The sequence below is a fragment of the Homo sapiens genome, chromosome 1 (genome assembly GCF_000001405.40).
Source record: "Homo sapiens chromosome 1, GRCh38.p14 Primary Assembly".
Lineage (NCBI taxonomy): Eukaryota > Metazoa > Chordata > Mammalia > Primates > Hominidae > Homo > Homo sapiens.
This window is the reverse complement of record NC_000001.11, coordinates 160,771,814-160,789,933: the sequence shown is the minus strand read 5'-3', so window position 1 is coordinate 160,789,933 and position 18,120 is coordinate 160,771,814. Positions and strand designations below refer to the sequence as shown.

Sequence of the window (18,120 nt, the reverse complement as noted above, 5' to 3'; positions counted from 1 at the left end):
TAAAAACAGGAACTGGTAGTAGGCTGACATTTACGCATGCATAGTCCGTCATCTGCTGCCATGTGACAAGCAGTTCTGCAGGTGCACTTTATGGCCCATTCTCTACCATGGTTGTTGCTCCTCCTTGGTCTTTTCATAGGTAAGTCCACCCCTCCACTGCCTCCCAGGCTCGTCTATTTGCTGCGTACACTGGTTTACTCTAGGAATGTGCAATTTTCATTGAGGTGCTGCCTCTATGGGAGCCAGGCTCTGTGTGTGCGTGTGTGTGTGTGTGTATGTGTGCGCACGTGCGCGTGGGTGCGTAAGTCTGTGCGCATGTGCTATAACCTCAGGTCACGCAGCTCTAGACGGTGTCCTTGTGACCCTCACATCTCTTTGACTAATGTATCACAAGGAGCCTGAGCATTTCCAGAGAGGCTGAATTGTGGAGGCATGAGATGGAGGATCAGCCACAGTCAGTTCCAAGACGCATGTAGTCTGCAGCATGTCATTTCAGTCATGTTTCCAGAGATGTCCAGGTTTTTAAAGACCTGTGGTGATGTAGTGCCTTGGGATTTGTGTTTTGTATCTGGTTCTCTTGCATCTCTTTCCCCTTCCTCCCTCTCCTGCCAGCCGCTGGGAGTCACCCTTCACCCTGAGTTGGGCCTTTCATGTCCCATAAGTGGTTTCAGTGGGGGAGCTCAAGCCTGGCACACTGGTAATTCCTGTCCCTGTGGATTCTCACTGCTCACCTCTAAGAACCTGACAGATGACAGGGGGATGGGCCTGGGACTTGGAGGCTAGGGGAACACAGATCTTGAGATATTCATGATGAGGGGACAGGTTCTGCTCTTAGTCTCCAGAGTTTCAAGCTTTCACTTTTATTCTCCATCAGGAGAAAACCAGCACGTTCTGTTCTTTTTTTTTTAATTATACTTTAAGTTTTAGGGTACATGTGCACAATGTGCAGGTTAATTACATTTGTATACATGTGACATGCTGGTGCGCTGCACCCACTAACTCGTCATCTAGCATTAGGTATATCTCCCAATGCTATCCCTCCCCCCTCCCCCCACCCCACAACAGTCCCCAGAGTGTGATGTTCCCCTTCCTGTGTCCATGTGTTCTCATTGTTCAATTCCCACCTATGAGTGAGAATATGCGGTGTTTGGTTTTTTCTTCTTGCGATAGTTTACTGAGAATGATGATTTCCAATTTCATCCATGTCCCTACAAAGAACATGAACTCATCATTTTTTATGGCTGCATAGTATTCCATGGTGTATATGTGCCACATTTTCTTAATCCAGTCTATCATTGTTGGACATTTGGGTTGGTTCCAAGTCTTTGCTATTGTGAATAGTGCCGCAGTAAACATACGTGTGCATGTGTCTTTATAGCAGCATGAATTATAGTCCTTTGGGTATATACCCAGTAATGGGATGGCTGGGTCAAATGGTATTTCTGTTTCTAGATCCCTGAGGAATCATCACACTGACTTCCACAATGGTTGAACTAGTTTACAGTCCCACCAACAGTGTAAAAGTGTTCCTGTGTCTGTTCATGTCCTTCACCCACTTTTTGATGGGGTTGTTTGTTTTTTTCTTGTAAATTTGTTTGAGTTCATTGCAGATTCTGGATATTAGTCCTTTGTCAGATGAGTATGTTGCAAAAACTTTCTCCCATTTTGTGGGTTGCCTGTTCACTCTGATGGTAGTTTCTTTTGCTGTGCAGAAGCTCTTTAGTTTAATTAGATCCCATTTGTCAATTTTGGCTTTTGTTGCCATTGCTTTTGGTGTTTTAGACATGAAGTCCTTGCCCGTGCCTATGTCCTGAATGGTAATGCCTAGGTTTTCTTCTAGGGTTTTTATGGTTTTAGGTTTAACGTTTAAGTCTTTAATCCATCTTGAATTGATTTTTGTATAAGGTGTAAGGAAGGGATCCAGTTTCAGCTTTCTACATATGGCTAGCCAGTTTTCCCAGCACCATTTATTAAATAGGGAATCCTTTCCCCATTGCTTGTTTTTGTCAGGTTTGTCAAAGATCAGATAGTTGTAGATATGCGGCGTTATTTCTGAGGGCTCTGTTCTGTTCCATTGATCTATATCTCTGTTTTGGTACCAGTACCATGCTGTTTTGGTTACTGTAGCCTTGTAGCATAGTTTGAAGTCAGGTAGCATGATGCCTCCAGCTTTGTTCTTTTGGCTTAGGATTGACTTGGCGATGCGGGCTCTTTTTTGGTTCCATATGAACTTTAAAGTAGTTTTTTCCAATTCTGTGAAGAAAGTCATTGGTAGCTTGATGGGGATGGCATTGAATCTATAAATTACCTTGGACAGTATGGCCATTTTCATGATATTGATTCTTCCTACCCATGAGCATGGAATGTTCTTCCATTTGTTTTTATCCTCTTTTATTTCCTTGAGCAGTGGTTTGTAGTTCTCCTTGAAGAGGTCCTTCACGTCCCTTGTAAGGTGGATTCCTAGGTATTTTATTCTCTTTGAAGCAATTGTGAATGGGAGTTCACTCATGATTTGGCTCTCTGTTTGTCTGTTATTGGTGTATAAGAATGCTTGTGATTTTTACACATTGATTTTGTATCCTGAGACTTTGCTGAAGTTGCTTATCAGCTTAATGAGATTTTGGGCTGAGACAATGGGGTTTTCTAGATATACAATCATGTCATCTGCAAACAGGGATAATTTGACTTCCTCTTTTCCTAATTGAATACCCTTTATTTCCTTCTCCTGCCTAATTGCCCTGGCCAGAACTTCCAACACTATGTTGAATAGGAGTGGTGAGAGAGGGCATCCCTGTCTTGTGCCAGTTTTCAAAGGGAATGCTTCCAGTTTTTGCCCATTCAGTGTGATATTGGCTGTGGGTTTGTCATAGATAGCTCTTATTATTTTGAGATACATCCCATCAAAACCTAATTTATTGAGAGTTTTTAGCATGAAGAGTTGTTGAATTTTGTCAAAGGCCTTTTCTGCATCTATTGAGATAATCATGTGATTTTTGTCTTTGGTTCTGTTTATATGCTGGATTACATTTATTGATTTGTGTATATTGAACCAGCCTTGCATCCCAGGGATGAAGCCCACTTGATCATGGTGGATACGCTTTTTGATGTGCTGCTGGATTCGGTTTGCCAGTATTTTACTGAGGATTTTTACATCAATGTTTATCAAGGGTATTGGTCTAAAATTCTCTTTTTTGGTTGTGTCTCTGCCCGACTTTGGTATCAGGATGATGCTGGCCTCATAAAATGAGTTAGGGAGGATTCCCTCCTTTTCTATTGATTGGAATAATTTCAGAAGGAATGGTACCAGTTCCTCCTTGTACCTCTGGTAGAATTCGGCTGTGAATCCATCTGGTCCTGGACTCTTTTTGGTTGGTAAGCTATTGATGATTTCCACAATTTCAGCTCCTGTTACTGGTCTATTCAGAGATTCAACTTCTTCCTGGTTTAGTCTTGGGAGAGTGTATGTGTCGAGGAATTTATAAATTTCTTCTAGATTTTCCAGTTTATTTGTGTAGAGGTGTTTGTAGTATTCTCTTATGGTAGTTTGTATTTCTGTGGGATCAGTGGTGATATCCCCTTTATCATTTTTTATTGCGTCTGTTTGATTCTTCTCTCTTTTTTTCTTTATTAGTCTTGCTAGCGGTCTATCAATTTTGTTGATCCTTTCAAAAAACCAGCTCCTGGATTCATTAATTTTTTGAAGGGTTTTTGTGTCTCTATTTCCTTCAGTTCTGCTCTGATTTTAGTTATTTCTTGCCTTCTGCTAGCTTTTGAATGTGTTTGCTCTTGCTTTTCTAGTTCTTTTAATTGTGATGTTAGGGTGTCAATTTTGGATCTTTACTGCTTTCTCTTGTGGGCATTTAGTGCTATAAATTTCCCTCTACACACTGCTTTGAATGTGTCCCAGAGATTCTGGTATGTTGTGTCTTTGTTCTCGTTGGTTTCAAAGAACATCTTTATTTCTGCCTTCATTTCATTATGTACCCAGTAGTCATTCAGGAGCAGGTTGTTCAGTTTCCATGTAGTTGAGCGGTTTTGAGTGAGTTTCTTAATCCTGAGTTCTAGTTTGATTGCACTGTGGTCTGAGAGATAGTTTGTTATAATTTCTGTTCTTTTACATTTGCTGAGGAGAGCTTTACTTCCAACTATGTGGTCAATTTTGAAATAGGTGTGGTGTGGTGCTGAAAAAAATGTATATTCTTTTGATTTGGGGTGGAGAGTTCTGTAGATGTCTATTAGGTCCACTTGGTGCAGGGCTGAGTTCAATTCCTGGGTATCCTTGTTGACTTTCTGTCTCATTGATCTGTCTAATGTTGACAGTGGGGTGTCAAAGTCTCCCATTATTAATGTGTGGGAGTCTAAGTCTCTTTGTAGGTCGCTCAGGACTCTCTTTATGAATCTGGGTGCTCCTGTATTGGGTGCATATATATTTAGGATAGTTAGCTCTTCTTGTTGAATTGATCCCTTTACCATTATGTAATGGCCTTCTTTGTCTCTTTTGATCTTTGTTGGTTTAAAGTCTGTTTTATTGGAGACTAGGATTGCAACTTCTGCCTTTTTTTGTTTTCCATTTGCTTGGTAGATCTTCCTCCATCCTTTTATTTTGAGCCTATGTGTGTCTCTGCGTGTGAGATGGGTTTCCTGAATAGAACACACTGATGGGTCTTGACTCTTTATCCAATTTGCCAGTCTGTGTCTTTTAATTGGAGCATTTAGTCCATTTACATTTAAGGTTAATATTGTTATGTGTGAATTTGAACCTGTCATTATGATGTTAGCTGGTTATTTTGCTCGTTAGTTGATGTAGTTTCTTCCTAGTCTTGATGATCTTTACATTTTGGCATGATTTTGCAGCGGCTGGTACTGGTTGTTCCTTTCAATGTTTAGTGCTTCCTTCAGGAGCTCTTTTAGGGGAGGCCTGGTGGTGACAAAATCTCTCAGCATTTGCTTGTCTGTAAAGGATTTTATTTCTCCTTCACTTATGAAGCTTAGTTTGGCCAGATATGAAATTCTGGGTTGAAAATTCTTTTCTTTAAGAATGTTGAATATTGGCCCCCACTCTCTTCTGGCTTGTAGAGTTTCTGCCGAGAGATCAGCTGTTAGTCTGATGGGCTTCCCTTTGTGGGTAACCCGACCTTTCTCTCTGGCTGCTCTTAACATTTTTTCCTTCATTTCAACTTTGGTGAATCTGACAATTATGTGTCTTGGAGTTGCTCTTCTCGAGGAGTATCTTTGTGGTGTTCTCTGTATTTCCTGAATCTGAATGTTGGCCTGCCTTGCTAGATTGGGGAAGTTCTCCTGGATAATATCCTGCAGAGTGTTTTCCAACTTAGTTCCATTCTCCCCGTCACTTTCAGGTACACCAATCAGACGTAGATTTGGTCTTTTCACATAGTCCCATATTTCTTGGAGGCTTTGTTTGTTCCCTTCTTGCTTCATTTCATTCATTTCATCTTCCATTGCTGATACCCTTTCTTCCAGTTGATCGCATCAGCTCCTGAGGCTTCTGCATTCTTCACGTAGTTCTCGTGCCTTGGCTTTCAGCTCCATCAGCTCCTTTAAGCACTTTTCTGTATTGACTATTCTAGTTATACATTCGTCTAAATTTTTTTCAAAGTTTTTAACTTCTTTGCCTTTGGTTTGAATTTCCTCCTGTAGCTCGTAGTTTGATCGTCTGAGGACTTCTTCTCTCAACTCGTCGAAGTCATTCTCCATCCAGCTTTGTTCCATTGCTGGTGAGGAACTGCGATCCTTTGGAGGAGGAGAGGTGTTCTGCTTTTTAGAGTTTCCAGTTTTTCTGCTCTGTTTTTTCCCCATCTTTGTGGTTTTATCTACTTTTGGTCTTTGATGATGGTGATGTACCGACGGCTTTTTGGTGTGGATGTCCTTTCTGTTTGTTAGTTTTCCTTCTAACAGACAGGACCCTCAGCTGCAGGTCTGTTGGAGTTTGCTAGAGTTCCACTCCAGACCCTGTTTGCCTGGGTATCAGCAGCAGTGTCTGCAGAACAGTGGTTTTTCATGAACCGCGAATGCTGCTGTCTGATCGTTCCTCTGGAAGTTTTGTCTCAGAGGAGTACCCGGCCGTGTGAGGTATCAGTCTGCCCCTACTGGGGGGTGCCTCCCAGTTAGGCTGCTCAGGGGTCAGGGGTCAGGGACCCACTTGAGGAGGCAGTCTGCCTGTTCTCAGATCTCCAGCTGCGTGCTGGGAGAACCACTGCTCTCTTCAAAGCTGTCAGACAGGGACATTTAAGTCTGCGGAGGTTACTGCTGTCTTTTTGTTTGTCTGTGCCCTGCCTCCAGAGGTGGAGCCTACAGATGCAGGCAGGCCTCCTTGAGCTGTGGTGGGCTCCACCCAGTTGGAGCTTTCTGGCTGCTTCGTTTACCTAAGCAAGCCTGGGCAATGGCGGGTGCCCCTCCCCCAGCCTCGCTGCCACCTTGCAGTTTGATCTCAGACTCCTGTGTTAGCAATCAGCGAGACTCTGTGGGCGTAGGACCCTCCGAGCCATGTGCAGGATATAATCTCCTGGTGCGCTGTTTTTTAAGCCCATCAGAAAAGCGCAGTATTCGGGTGGGAGTGACCCGATTTTCCAGGTGCCGTCTGTCACCCCTTTCTTTGACTAGGAAAGGGAACTCCCTGACCCTGTGCGCTTCCCGAGCGAGGCAATGCCTCGCCCTGCTTTGGCTCGTGCACGGTGTGCTGCACCCACTGACCTGTGCCCACTGTCTGGCACTCCCTAGTGTGATGAACCTGGTACCTCAGACGGAAATGCAGAAATCACCCATCTTCTGCGTCGCTCATGCTGGGAGCTGTAGACCGGAGCTGTTCCTATTCGGCCATCTTGGCTCCTCCCCCACATTCTGTTCTTAGAGTCACCTGCGTTCAGGGTTGTTTTCACCCCAGCCTTTAGGGATCTCCTTTAATAAACTGATGAATCCCCTAGATGTGTTTAAACCTTGATAGTTCATCAAGAACTTTAACTTAAATCTTTAAAAACGTGATCCCTGGCCAGGTGCACTGGCTCACACATGTAATCCCAGAACTTTGGGAGGCTGAGGCAGGTGGATCACCTGAGGTTGGGAGTTTGAGACCAGCCTGATCAACATGGAGAAACCTCATCTCTACTAAAAAATACAAAATTAGCCGGGCATGGTGGTGGATGCCTGTAATCCCAACTACTCAGGAGGCTAAGGCAGAAGAATTGCTTGAACCCAGGAGGCGGAGGTTGCAGTGAGCTGAGATCGTGCCATTGCACTCCAGCCTGGGCAACAAGAGCAAAATTCCATCTCGAAAAAAAAAAAAGTGATCCCTATAACAGTCTTGTGATATGGACAAGGCAGGTAGCATTTCACCCATTTTATAGATGATAGACTGAGGCTCAGAGAGATTACGTGGCATATTCCAGTGATCTGCGAAACTGAAAGTCAGCACAGCCCAACTGTGCTGTTGGGTAGGAGCAACAAGGAGTGTATCAGAGAACCACAGTGTCCCTGACCAAAGACAGAACTGAAACCAAGAAGCTGGATTACTGCAATGTTTCTCACACCTGCGTTTTTCCTCTTCCACTGTGGAGCATGCATATCGGTGTTTTCCTCCCTCCACAGCATCTGGGCCAGGCCCTTGGTAATCACTGAGCACAGGGGCATCTCTTGGGCCCACGGCAAGAGATTGAGTAAGACAAGTGTGGCCTTAAAAATGTTCACAGTTCCTCAGTTCAGTTCTAGAAACATCAGTTAAGTCCTCTTGTGTGCCAGGTCCTATGCTGTGTGTGGCTAGGGAAAAGCGGGTGACAGTGTGACACAGGAAAGAATTTGGCATGGGAAGGCCTGCTGCCGGCAGCTGGTGTAGTAAACAGAGCCTTGATTCTGGGGACAGACACACCTGGGTTTTAACCGGTACTCTGCTGTTCCTAGCTGGTGACTTTGGGCAAGTTCCTTAAGCTCTTTGAGTCTCATGGTCTTCCATCTATAAAGTGGAGATAAAAGAATACCTACCTTACAAGTCTGTTGGGAAGGTTAAGGAAAGTAATGTGCATAATATGCTTGGCAAAGTGTCTGGCTTTTGGGATTTGTGCCCTGCATTTGATCCTTCTCTGTCTCTTTCCCCTCCTCCCTTGAATCCAGAAACAGGATTCACTGGATTCCCCCAACTACACCTAACTATGAGGCTAAACCGCTGGCCTTACTTTACCTTGTTACTCAGATATTAATTCCCTCCCAACTTCTCTCCGTGGGTTGCTCATGGGCTCTAGGGAAAGACACACAGCACAGCTATTTGTATGAGGCAGAATGAAGTAAATGCTTGAAACAAAACAATTCAACAAAAGCACAGGCCAAAGGAAACTAAGGGGAAGGCGTGGCTGGACCAGAAGTATAGAGCTCAGATAAGGCTGTAACAAGGAAGCAGAATGGAAACCGGTCTAGCGAGTTACCACACTAGAGGGTACAAGCCGGGGGCAAAGCTGCTTGTTCCAGGTGGAATACCTCCAGCTTAGGTTTCAGGCCTGGGCTGTATTTGGGGAGAGGAATATCTATCTGGTGTCAGCAACACCCTGTGTGGGATGCTTCTTGCTGCCCACTCCAGGCAGAGCCAGAATAGTTAGTTCCATGGAAGAACATAACATTGGGCCAGCCAGCGGAGTCTGGTGAGTGCACCAGGACACTGCATGTCCCCTGGCTTGGTGCACACACCCTCACAAGACAGCAAACACCCTCCCACTCCTCGTGACCACAGCTATTGTCACAGGACCCCTCAGTTCAGCTTGGCAAGGACCCTCATCACCCAGTCTAAGAAGTAGTTATGTAGCCAGTGCTTCCAGATTCCAATTTGAAATCAAACCCTAGACCCCATGCTGCCTTTTCTCTCTGTACGCAGCTGTACAGAGAGAAAAGTGTGTAGTAGACCTTGGTCAGCTTCAGCATTTCTGCCTCCTGGGACTGCATGTCTGTGCTGCAGAAATACTCTGACAGAGATAGGTCATGCTACTGAGGAGTGGTTTTCAAAATTGCTCTACAAGAGTTCTGACTGGTTTTGGTGAGGATGCAAACAAGGTGCATTCACTAATTTATTCCAGTGATATAAAGTGCCTTTAATAATACTAATAGTGGATTGAAGTGAATTATAATAATTCACAATACTTATAGTGAATACTAATAGTGAATAGTATTTACTTGCATTATTTCATTTAACCCTCACAAAATCCTAGAAGATGGCCTTTCCTGTTTTTCACAGGTAAGAAACCAAGATTCAGAGAGTTTTAGCACCTGCCCAAGATCACACAGCTAGTACCTGGTAGAGCAAGTTTGAACTCGGGCAGTCTGACTGGTTCCCCAGTGCTTACACTCTCCTCTTAAGTATAGGCTGGGATCCCAACAGCTGCCCCCTGAGCACCCTTAAACTGGCTTGGCCAGCACACCACAAGTTCTCCTGCTCTAGAAAGATGTGTTCCCAGGAATCCTGGCTAGGCCTCAGAGGATGTGACATCTGTTTCAGAAGTGACTGGACAAAGCCTTATGGGGATGTGGTCTCGAGCAAGTCACCTAAATTCTTTGTCACTGTTTTCCCGTCTATAAAATGGGGATAATAATCCCCTCTCAGGCCTGTTGTGACCTTCTGGCGTAGTCAGGCTACCCCCTGAAGCTTCTGTTCTGTGTCTGCAGGACCAGGGACTTCCAGAGGGACCACAGCACCCCTAGTGGTCACTGGGACCTAGGAGGGTCTGTCATTCTGCCCCTGCAGACGCTCTGGACAGGAGGTGGCGACCATCTCCTGGATATCGCTCTGGACAGGAGGTGGCGACCATCTCCTGGATATCGCTCTGGACAGGAGGTGGCGACCATCTCCTGGATATCGCGTTCGGTCCCCATGGAGATCACCACAGTAACCATGGGAGAAGCTGGGGGCCCAGACATCTTTTACCAAGCGGAAACCTGGTCCTCGGGTCGCTTGAGTGTCATGAGTCCAGGTTTATCCCTGCGTGTAGATCAGCAACCTGAGCTGGGAGGATACAGGGCCCTACCGAGCCCATGTTAACCTGAGGATTTCCTGCAGCACCCTCACCTGGGAGTACCATCTGCAAGTCTATAGTGGGTGTCTTAGAGATGGCAGCAGTGGGTGAGGCAGTGTCAGCCTCTCAGTCATTTCTACAGCTTTAGTAACATTCGCAATTTGCAAGACTAATTTATGCGCACTGTTTTGTTTTTTGTTTTTAAAGATATGTAAGTTAGAGTTGCCAGAGAGAATCTCCTGAAAAATGTCAAGCCTCAGGACCTACCCTAGACCACCTGAAGCAGAGTTCTTGGGACAGTAGTGGTCAGAGAATGGGATTTCAGGCCCTGAGAACTGAGTTTTTCCACAACCTCCTCTTGTGGCCTGGAGCTTCCTCATTACTAAAATGGGAACAATACCTTTTTGTGAGAGTGAAAACATATGAAAGTGCTTTGGAAAGGCCTATGCAGATGCAGAGGGATGCTCTTATCAAATTCCTTAAAGAAATTTAAAAAATCTTAGCAGGAGAAACTACAAAGGAAGCAATGGGGTGGGTATCAAGCACACACAGCACCGAGAAAGGCCTATGAAAGATGCTACGCTGAGCCACTTTGAGATTCAGACAGTTGATTATTCATATAACGAATGGAAGAGTAGCCAAGGGTTCCAGATCCCTGGGCACTTGTCCCACACCAGAAAAGATGACATTGAAACAAAAGGGGCCAGATGGCTGCAGTGGGAGCTGTGGAATACCCAGATGCCGAGGGGCCAATTCTACCTTCAGCAAAGAGGACTTAGAGACCGCAGCTGTGTTCTGAGGACAAGAAGTCCCATACTGCATCAGAACCCCAGGAGCCAGGGGAAATAGTCTCATGACAGCCTCCCAGGGGAGATGGCTTCAAGGCTGTGCCTCACAGGCCACCTGAACTCTCGTGTTCTGGGTGGATCACAAGGCATTTTGCCAAGACCCAGTTTAGCAGAGGTTGAAACCTTTGCCTGAGAGAGATGTGCAAGGTCTCAGGGTGCTATGGCAGAGCCGTTCCCCTGCAATGAGCGAGGGGGACAGGTGGTGAGTGAGGATGGACATGGGAAGGCCAGCAGAGAACCTTCACAGACATTTTTCTTGGATTCTGTGATAGGAAATCTTCCTATTAGACGAAGGCACTCTTTTAGTGGAGTTGATGGGGCTGCTCTCTGGTCAGGTCCACATGGCTGGGGAGAAGGCGTGTCTGCCATAAATCAGGCCTGGGCTGGCTATGGCCTGCTTCTCACAACAGGACCAGGGCACAATGGAAGTGGGTTGCTGGGACTTGGGGTTGGGTTGCTCACTAGGGTAGGGTGGGCCCAAAACTGGTGGGAGAGGCCCTTTGGCCTCGCTGATAGTCATTCTGATAGCACTTACTTAGTGTGGTATGGTGTCAGGTGGAGTCTGGGTAGAGGATAGGGTTGTGCCAATCCATCAGGGGTGGGGTCTTCCAGAGAGCCCTTCTCTCTCTGGGTTGACATCCCAATGGCAAGGCAGTGCTAATGGTCAGGCTCCATCCTTCACAGGGTGTTTCCCATCACTGCAGCCTCACAACAGCCCTGCCAGTATGCAGGTCAGGAGTTTTCATTTCTAGGAAGGAAACGGAATCTTAGAAAGGGAAAATAAGACACCTATGACATGGAGCTAGAAAGTGGCAGATTTGGGAATCGAACTCAGGTATTCTGATGCTGTACCCTGTGCCTTCATTCTCTGGGTTTCTGGTATGTCGCCATATTTATTGGATGAGAAAAGGGCCAATAGAAGTCAAGTGGCTTGCATCCCAGGGCCTGATATATAGGAGACACAGTGGGGAGAGCCAGCAGCAAGGTACCCACCTGTGGGGATGTCCAGGCTGCCTTCTCCTGGGGGACACGCTGGGCCTGTGTGGTCCTACTTTGCACAGTTGAGTTTCCCCTGGGGCTGCAGTCGTGTGGGCCACAGGGCTGAGGCTGAGTAGCAGAGTAGCCTTGTTCTATGCAATATGACTTTGTTGAGTGTTTCAGGCCTGGTGTCTGCAGCTGCTCTTCTCGCCTCCCCCAAATCCTCCTGGGTCTGGCCTGGGAGGCTGGTGGACAAATAATGGCAATGTGGACACCTCGAGCACTTAAGAATATCTGGGTCATGGCCCTGGGGCAAGAGGAGACGGGGAGCAGGTCCAAGGGAGTGCAAGGGAGTGGGAGAAACCTCAAAGGCACACAGCCACCTCCTCTGGGACTCTTGATCAACACCTGGAAGCTCAGTGTATGCTGCAGAGCCCCCTACGGGGAAAATATGTAATTACAACACAGCTCCGTACTTGCATTCCTTTATCTATTCAGGGCAGGGTTGGGAAACTCAGTTTTGGGCTCAAATTCACTGGATTTGGATTTTGGCTTTACCACTTAACTAGATGAGACTTTGGGCAGGTTATCTAAGCATTCTGAGCCTGTGAAATGGAGTTGATATAACATCTTCCCTGTTTAGTTCATGGAGTTGTTCTGGAAATCAACTGAGATGTTAAGTGACATGGCCTTACATAGCACAAAGTTCTGGAACAGATGTGGGCAGATCCTGCCTCTGCTGTTCCTTCTGTGTATTCAAGGTGATGCAAGGTTTGGGCACTAATGCCGTGCATTTTCTGTCCTGTGAAGTGGAGGCCCAGAGCAGTTTCCCAGTCCTCAGTTTATTCCCTTTCGCACACACAGAGCAGCTGGCCTGGCCTCATGTCACACTGAGCTCCAGGATTAGTGAGGATGGATGCTGCATTGTCACTCTCATATGCCATTGACATGTGTGGCAGAGAGCAGAGGAGGCAGTGTGACTTACAGCTGGACACCCCTGGGACCCCAGACTGTTGTTGTGTCCTGTGGAGGGTCTGTCCTCAGTGTCTCCTTGAGGCTTGGGGACAGTGCTCTAACTTTTACCTGCATGGTCAAGAACCCATTCAGTAACAGCAGCTCCCACCCTATCTCAGTGCCTCACTTCTGCATATGTACCAGGCTCCTCAGTCTGCCCAGGGGCCTGAGCAGCTCTGGGGTTGACAGGGAGGGTGGAAGAAGAAGTCCTGGTTCCCTTCAGACCCTGGGGCAAGGGGGCTAACACCATTGGGAGGGTGGGAGTCTGGGGTGGGTGGGTGTTGGTCTGTGTGGTCATGGCAGTGGGAGGAGAAGACCCACTGGAGCTGGTGGGGAGGCTGGAGGGACTCACACAGGAGGAGCTGGATGGAGCCTGTGGCTTTCCTGACTAGGTGGGGAGACACTGACACTGAGGTTGTGGGTTCTCTTCTTTGTCTACAGGGTCAGGAACACTGGGAGAAGATACAGTGGGGAAGATATCCTTGGGGAGTTGGCCACTTGGCCCCTGGAGGTCCCAGCAGAGCAAGAGGTAGAAAGTGTTACATGGAGCTCTTGAGAGCGTGTTGCTGTTTTACAACAAGGATGAACAGACAAACCAGTTCTGGTTTCTGAGACTCAGGGACCCTACAGTGGATGACTGAACATTCCCCACCACAGCTACTCTCTTCAGATCAGCCCCCTGAGGCTGCAGGACTATAAGCCTATAAGCCTGGGTAACTCTGCATACTTCCTCAATCATTATCACCAGGGATTTCACCCTGCTTGTCTATGGTAAGGAGGGCTGGAGGGCCCCACATTTGAAACTGAGCTTTCCTCTACCCTGTTTGGCCAGACCAGAGCCTTCTCATAGCTCAAGCTTTCCCTTCTTGGTTCAGAGATGCTGTAGGAGTTGAACATCTTTGCCAGCTCCCAGATCATGAAGGATGGGACCTGCTTCATCACCCTGGCCTGCTCCCTGGAACAGGCTGGAGAGAATGTGCAGAACAGCTGGGAGCCTCCTAGTCATGGGGCAGTTGTGTCCCATGGGGGGACCACTCTCAGTGTCCCCTGGATATCTGGGGAAAGTGAGAGCTATCACTGCACTGCCAGGAATCCCACCAGCCAGAGCTCCAGCTCTGTCCTTACCAGACCCCTTTGCTCAGGTAATGTTTTTCCTTCTCTGACTCTCTTCTTCCTGGCAAGCCTTGGTCTAGTTTCTTAGCATCCCTGCCTCTCTTCCTCTTGGATCCAGGAGCAATTGAAGAAAGGGAGGAGCCAGATTAGTTGGCAGCAGGAAGTGTCTCTGGGGTGGCAGGAGACAAGGGCTCTGGAGCCACCATCCCAGGGCCCGCTTCGGTCCACCTTTTCTCTGTTGGCCTCGGTCCTCTGTGCCTGACCTGCTGCAGACTCAGCGAGGCATTCAGCTCATTCCTGGGACTCCCTGAGGAAAAGTGCTGCCTCACCCACACTCAACCCTGCACAGCCCACTGAGGAGAGCTTCGAAACCCCTTGCCTGTGTTCTCAGAGAGGACTTACCACCTCCCCTTGCCTAGAGGTGCTCTGAGAGACACTTGAGGCTGTGCTCTTCTGGCAGGCAAGGGGAGGCCTCTCATGGTGTCCCTGGTCCCATTTGGCTTAGTCATAGGTCATGGCTGGAAACTGTGTTAGTTCAAACATATCCTGTCTCTCCTCTTCTCAGTTGCCTTCTGAAACAGCTGTCTTTCCTGACTCCAGATCTTCAATCATTCATTCTCCACCCACTTGCTGCTGATTTGCCCCTCCAGCTACATCCTGATGGATAAATTCATTGGCCACTTTTAAATTCTGTTATCCTTGGCTTCTCCCAGCACTTGACACATTAACCTGCTCTCCTTTGTCACCTGGGCTGCTCTCTCCTGGGACATCTTCCCTTGGATCAGGATCCTTCTCAAGACTGGTGCCTCAGGCCTTTCTCCACTCCCCTTGTTTTCTTTCTGTTGCCAAAGGCAGAAATGCCAGTGTCATTTAGGGCCCCTCCTCTTCCCCACCACATCCTGCCATTGCTCACCCTTTCCCTTTATTCCTTGCCTGGACCACTCCACAAACTCCTAACCACTCCTTCCTTCCTTAATCTTTTCCTTCCCAATCATCTTCCAGATTGCACTGCCAGAGGTCTAATTCTAAATTAAGAAATGCTTGTGTTACTTTTTAGCTTAAAACTTTAGGACATGAGAGGGAATGTGGAAGTGTTGATTAAACGGTAATAGTTTCAGACAGACAGGAGGAATAGGTTTTGAGATCTATTGCACAGAAGGCGACCATGGTCAATAATAATGTATTATACAGTTCAAAATAGCTGAGGGAGTACATTTCAAATGTCTCACCGTAAAAAATGGTAGGTGAGTGAAGATATGTTAATTAATTTGATTTAATCATGCCACATTGTATACATGATCAAAAATCACATTGTTCACCGTAAATGCATGCTGCTGTGATTTGTCAATCAAAAATAGTAAATATTTTAAAAACTAAAAAAAAGCCCTATGATGTCTGCCCACTATCTAAGGTATTTAAACAATTATTCATTCATTTAAGCCACAGGTATTTACTGAGTATCTTTTATGAACCCTGTGCTGTTCTAACCATTGTAGATACAATGAAGAAGAGGTCCAGATAAATTTCTACCCCTCATGTAAATCACTGTTACAATCATCACAACCTGCACCTGACTAGCTTTTTGGCCATTTCATCTTCCAGTCAGCCCTGGGAAATGACTTTGGGAGAGTTCTGTATTTTGTTGTACAAAGACAACATTGAATGTGTTCTATTATGGGCTTTTTGTGTCTGTGCTCTCCACTGAACTGTGAGAAAAACACATTCTTACTGTTCTCTGCATCTCTAATACACAACGAGTAATAGGTGTCAAAAAATGTGGGTCTGACAAGTATTTAAAAAGCATCTGCGCTGGGTGTTGTGGGACACATGCAGACATGATAATTGGCTGTAGACGTTCACAGTCTCCCTCTCTCTACGGGGCCTGATGGACATTTCAGTTCCGCCCCCACATTCGGCTACCTGAAGGGGCCTCCAGCCCAGCCATGCCTCTGACTTGTCTTCCTTCAAAATCATTTTCCCTGTTTCTCTGTCTTCCTGTCTTCCTTTTCTCCCAATTACTAACTTGTGGTCATTGTTCATTCAGCCTCCTTTGTACCCCACTCCCTGAGGAAAGAATTTCTTCCTTTTTTGATTCTGGGAGTTTTGGGGATTGAATAGATTTCACCTGGACATGGGGAGAAACCAAGAAGAGAAGTACGAGATGGCGGCCATCCTGTGAGACACAGAGTTAAAGAAGTTCGCATGTGGAGTGCTGCCTGAGGCCAGCATTTCCTGGTGTGAGAGAAGGACATTGACACTGATTAAGGCATAAACCCTATTTCATTTACAAACTGAGTTCAAAATTATCAGGAAACTGCTATGTGTCTTCTGTTTAAAATAATCTGTTTATGTTTTATTGAAGTGTGTTTTTAAGTGTTCAGAAAGAAAAAGGAGCTTATTTATTTAAGAAAAATTGAATGGAACATAAAAACATTGTTATTGTCACACATATATATTATTAAGTTTTTGTTAATGTTTAAATAACTAGATTCAGCCCAGCTTCAGCTTGAATGTCATCTCCTTGGAGCAGCCTTTGGCCACTATACTTAAGTAGATCTTTCCTCTCATTCATAATCAATGTATGTTTAAAAAAATAATCTGGAGTCTGTTAGGCTGAGACGGCCCTAGCAATCTGGGATTCTACACAAGCAAACAGAAAACCAACTCAGAATGACTTAACCAGTCGGAAACCACCAGGTAATCTCTAAATGGGGAATTCCATTTAAGCCATCAAATATTTTCTTTTCTTCTTTTTATTTTGCATAGAGACAGGATCTAACTCTGTTGCTCAGGCTGGTCTCAAACTCCTGGCCTCAAGTGATCTTCTCACCTTGGCCTCCCAAAGTGCGGAGATTACAGGCATAGACCACCATGCCTGGCACACTTATTTGTTGGTTTACTTATTTATTGTTTATTTCCCTCACAAGATATTCAGCTCTATGAGGATAAGAACTATTTCTATATATATTTTTTCAAAACTAAAAACCCAAAGGGTAATAGTGTTTGGCTTATGATAGATACTTCAACATTTACTGAATGAATGAAAGAATGAATTGGAGTTGAGAATATTTTTTCTTAAGATTTGAAGACTATTAGGAGGTTTTACAAGGATCTGGGGCCTACACCATTGTCTGTTTTCTCTTTCTGCTTTTGATGGAGAGAAGCAGCAAATTAAATCTTTATCCTAAAAGTTTCCTAGAATGCTCAACAGTTAGCAAAAGAAAAAGTTAAAATAAAAGAAACATTTATGTTTTGTTTTGACAGAAAGCTGCTCTGCAGTGCTAGATACGTTAATCTAGAATTTGAACCATATACAAATAACTGAACCAAAAGCAAAATTTAGGTGGGAAACTTTGAGCTTCTCTTTCTTTTTCTTACTCTCAGTTGATCAGCTCATTTCCTAGTTCATTCACAGAGAGGATTGGCAAATATCACCCATTACACACAAAGCTTCCAATCAAGTAGTTAATGACTTATTTGGAAATATAAGAGGGCAGACAGGATCACAAGATATTTGGGGAAGGCCTCTAACATGAAAGACAATCTCCAAACCAAATGAATCAGGGGGAAAAAAGAAACTTGGAAGAAAAGAGATAATACAGGGAGCAGGAGAAAATTAAATAAAATCCCTCAAACAATATTCTTAGAGACATATAAAAAGATTTTCACTTAAAAACAGAAACAGGGTGCCAGCCTAAGAAAAACTGAAAAGTCCAAGAGTAAGAAAGAGCCCTAGTAACAATAAATACATAAATAAAAAGCAGAAAACTTCTAAAATTCAATGGAAGTGTTGGAAAATCAAATGAAGAAACTCTCTCAGAAAGTAGAACTAAAGACAAACAGATGAAAATAAAAGAGAAAAGATAAGGCCATTAAAGAATCAGCCCAGGAACTCCAACCCCTGGATAACACAGTTCCAGAAAGGGACATGTCTTAGTCTATTTTGTGCTGCCATGGCAGAATCCCACAGATCGGATAATTTATAAACAGTAGAATTTTATTTGTCTCATGATTCTGGAGACTGGGAAGTCCAAGATCAAGGGGCTGCATCTGGTGAGGACCTTTTTGCTGCATCATAACATGGTGGAAGGCATAACATGATCAGAAAGTGAGTGTGTGTGTGTGTGTGTGTGTGTGTGTTTGTGTGTGTGAGAGAGAGAGAG

General features: G+C 45.4%; 1 long non-coding RNA gene across 2 annotated transcripts, besides 5 other annotated features; it reads left to right on the top strand.

Moving 5' to 3' along the window:
* On the top strand, nucleotides 72-17,224 carry LOC105371470 (uncharacterized). Of its 2 annotated transcripts, NR_188635.1 has the most exons (4): nucleotides 72-139; nucleotides 13,286-13,615; nucleotides 13,720-13,986; nucleotides 16,002-17,224. It is a non-coding gene; the product is annotated as an uncharacterized LOC105371470 (long non-coding RNA). The 2 variants fall into 2 exon arrangements; NR_188636.1 differs by having other exon boundaries at nucleotides 13,720-17,224.
* Nucleotides 313-505: a silencer, noted in NCBI's record as "fragment chr1:160759219-160759411 (GRCh37/hg19 assembly coordinates)". NCBI's record gives its function as "represses an EF-1alpha promoter that drives an FKBP-Casp9 reporter gene in an ReSE screen in HepG2 liver carcinoma cells {active_cell/tissue: HepG2}" and the evidence as "EXISTENCE:reporter gene assay evidence [ECO:0000049][PMID:32094911]".
* Nucleotides 7,288-7,447: an enhancer, noted in NCBI's record as "active region_1958". NCBI's record gives its function as "activates an Ori minimal core promoter by ATAC-STARR-seq in GM12878 lymphoblastoid cells {active_cell/tissue: GM12878}" and the evidence as "EXISTENCE:reporter gene assay evidence [ECO:0000049][PMID:35858748]".
* Nucleotides 8,118-8,619: an enhancer, noted in NCBI's record as "H3K27ac hESC enhancer chr1:160751105-160751606 (GRCh37/hg19 assembly coordinates)". NCBI's record gives its function as "activates a minimal SCP1, AML or CMV promoter by ChIP-STARR-seq in primed H9 embryonic stem cells {active_cell/tissue: H9 hESC(primed)}" and the evidence as "EXISTENCE:reporter gene assay evidence [ECO:0000049][PMID:30033119]".
* Nucleotides 12,082-12,151: an enhancer, noted in NCBI's record as "active region_1957". NCBI's record gives its function as "activates an Ori minimal core promoter by ATAC-STARR-seq in GM12878 lymphoblastoid cells {active_cell/tissue: GM12878}" and the evidence as "EXISTENCE:reporter gene assay evidence [ECO:0000049][PMID:35858748]".
* Nucleotides 12,472-12,521: an enhancer, noted in NCBI's record as "active region_1956". NCBI's record gives its function as "activates an Ori minimal core promoter by ATAC-STARR-seq in GM12878 lymphoblastoid cells {active_cell/tissue: GM12878}" and the evidence as "EXISTENCE:reporter gene assay evidence [ECO:0000049][PMID:35858748]".
* Nucleotides 17,225-18,120: the final 896 nt, after the last annotated feature.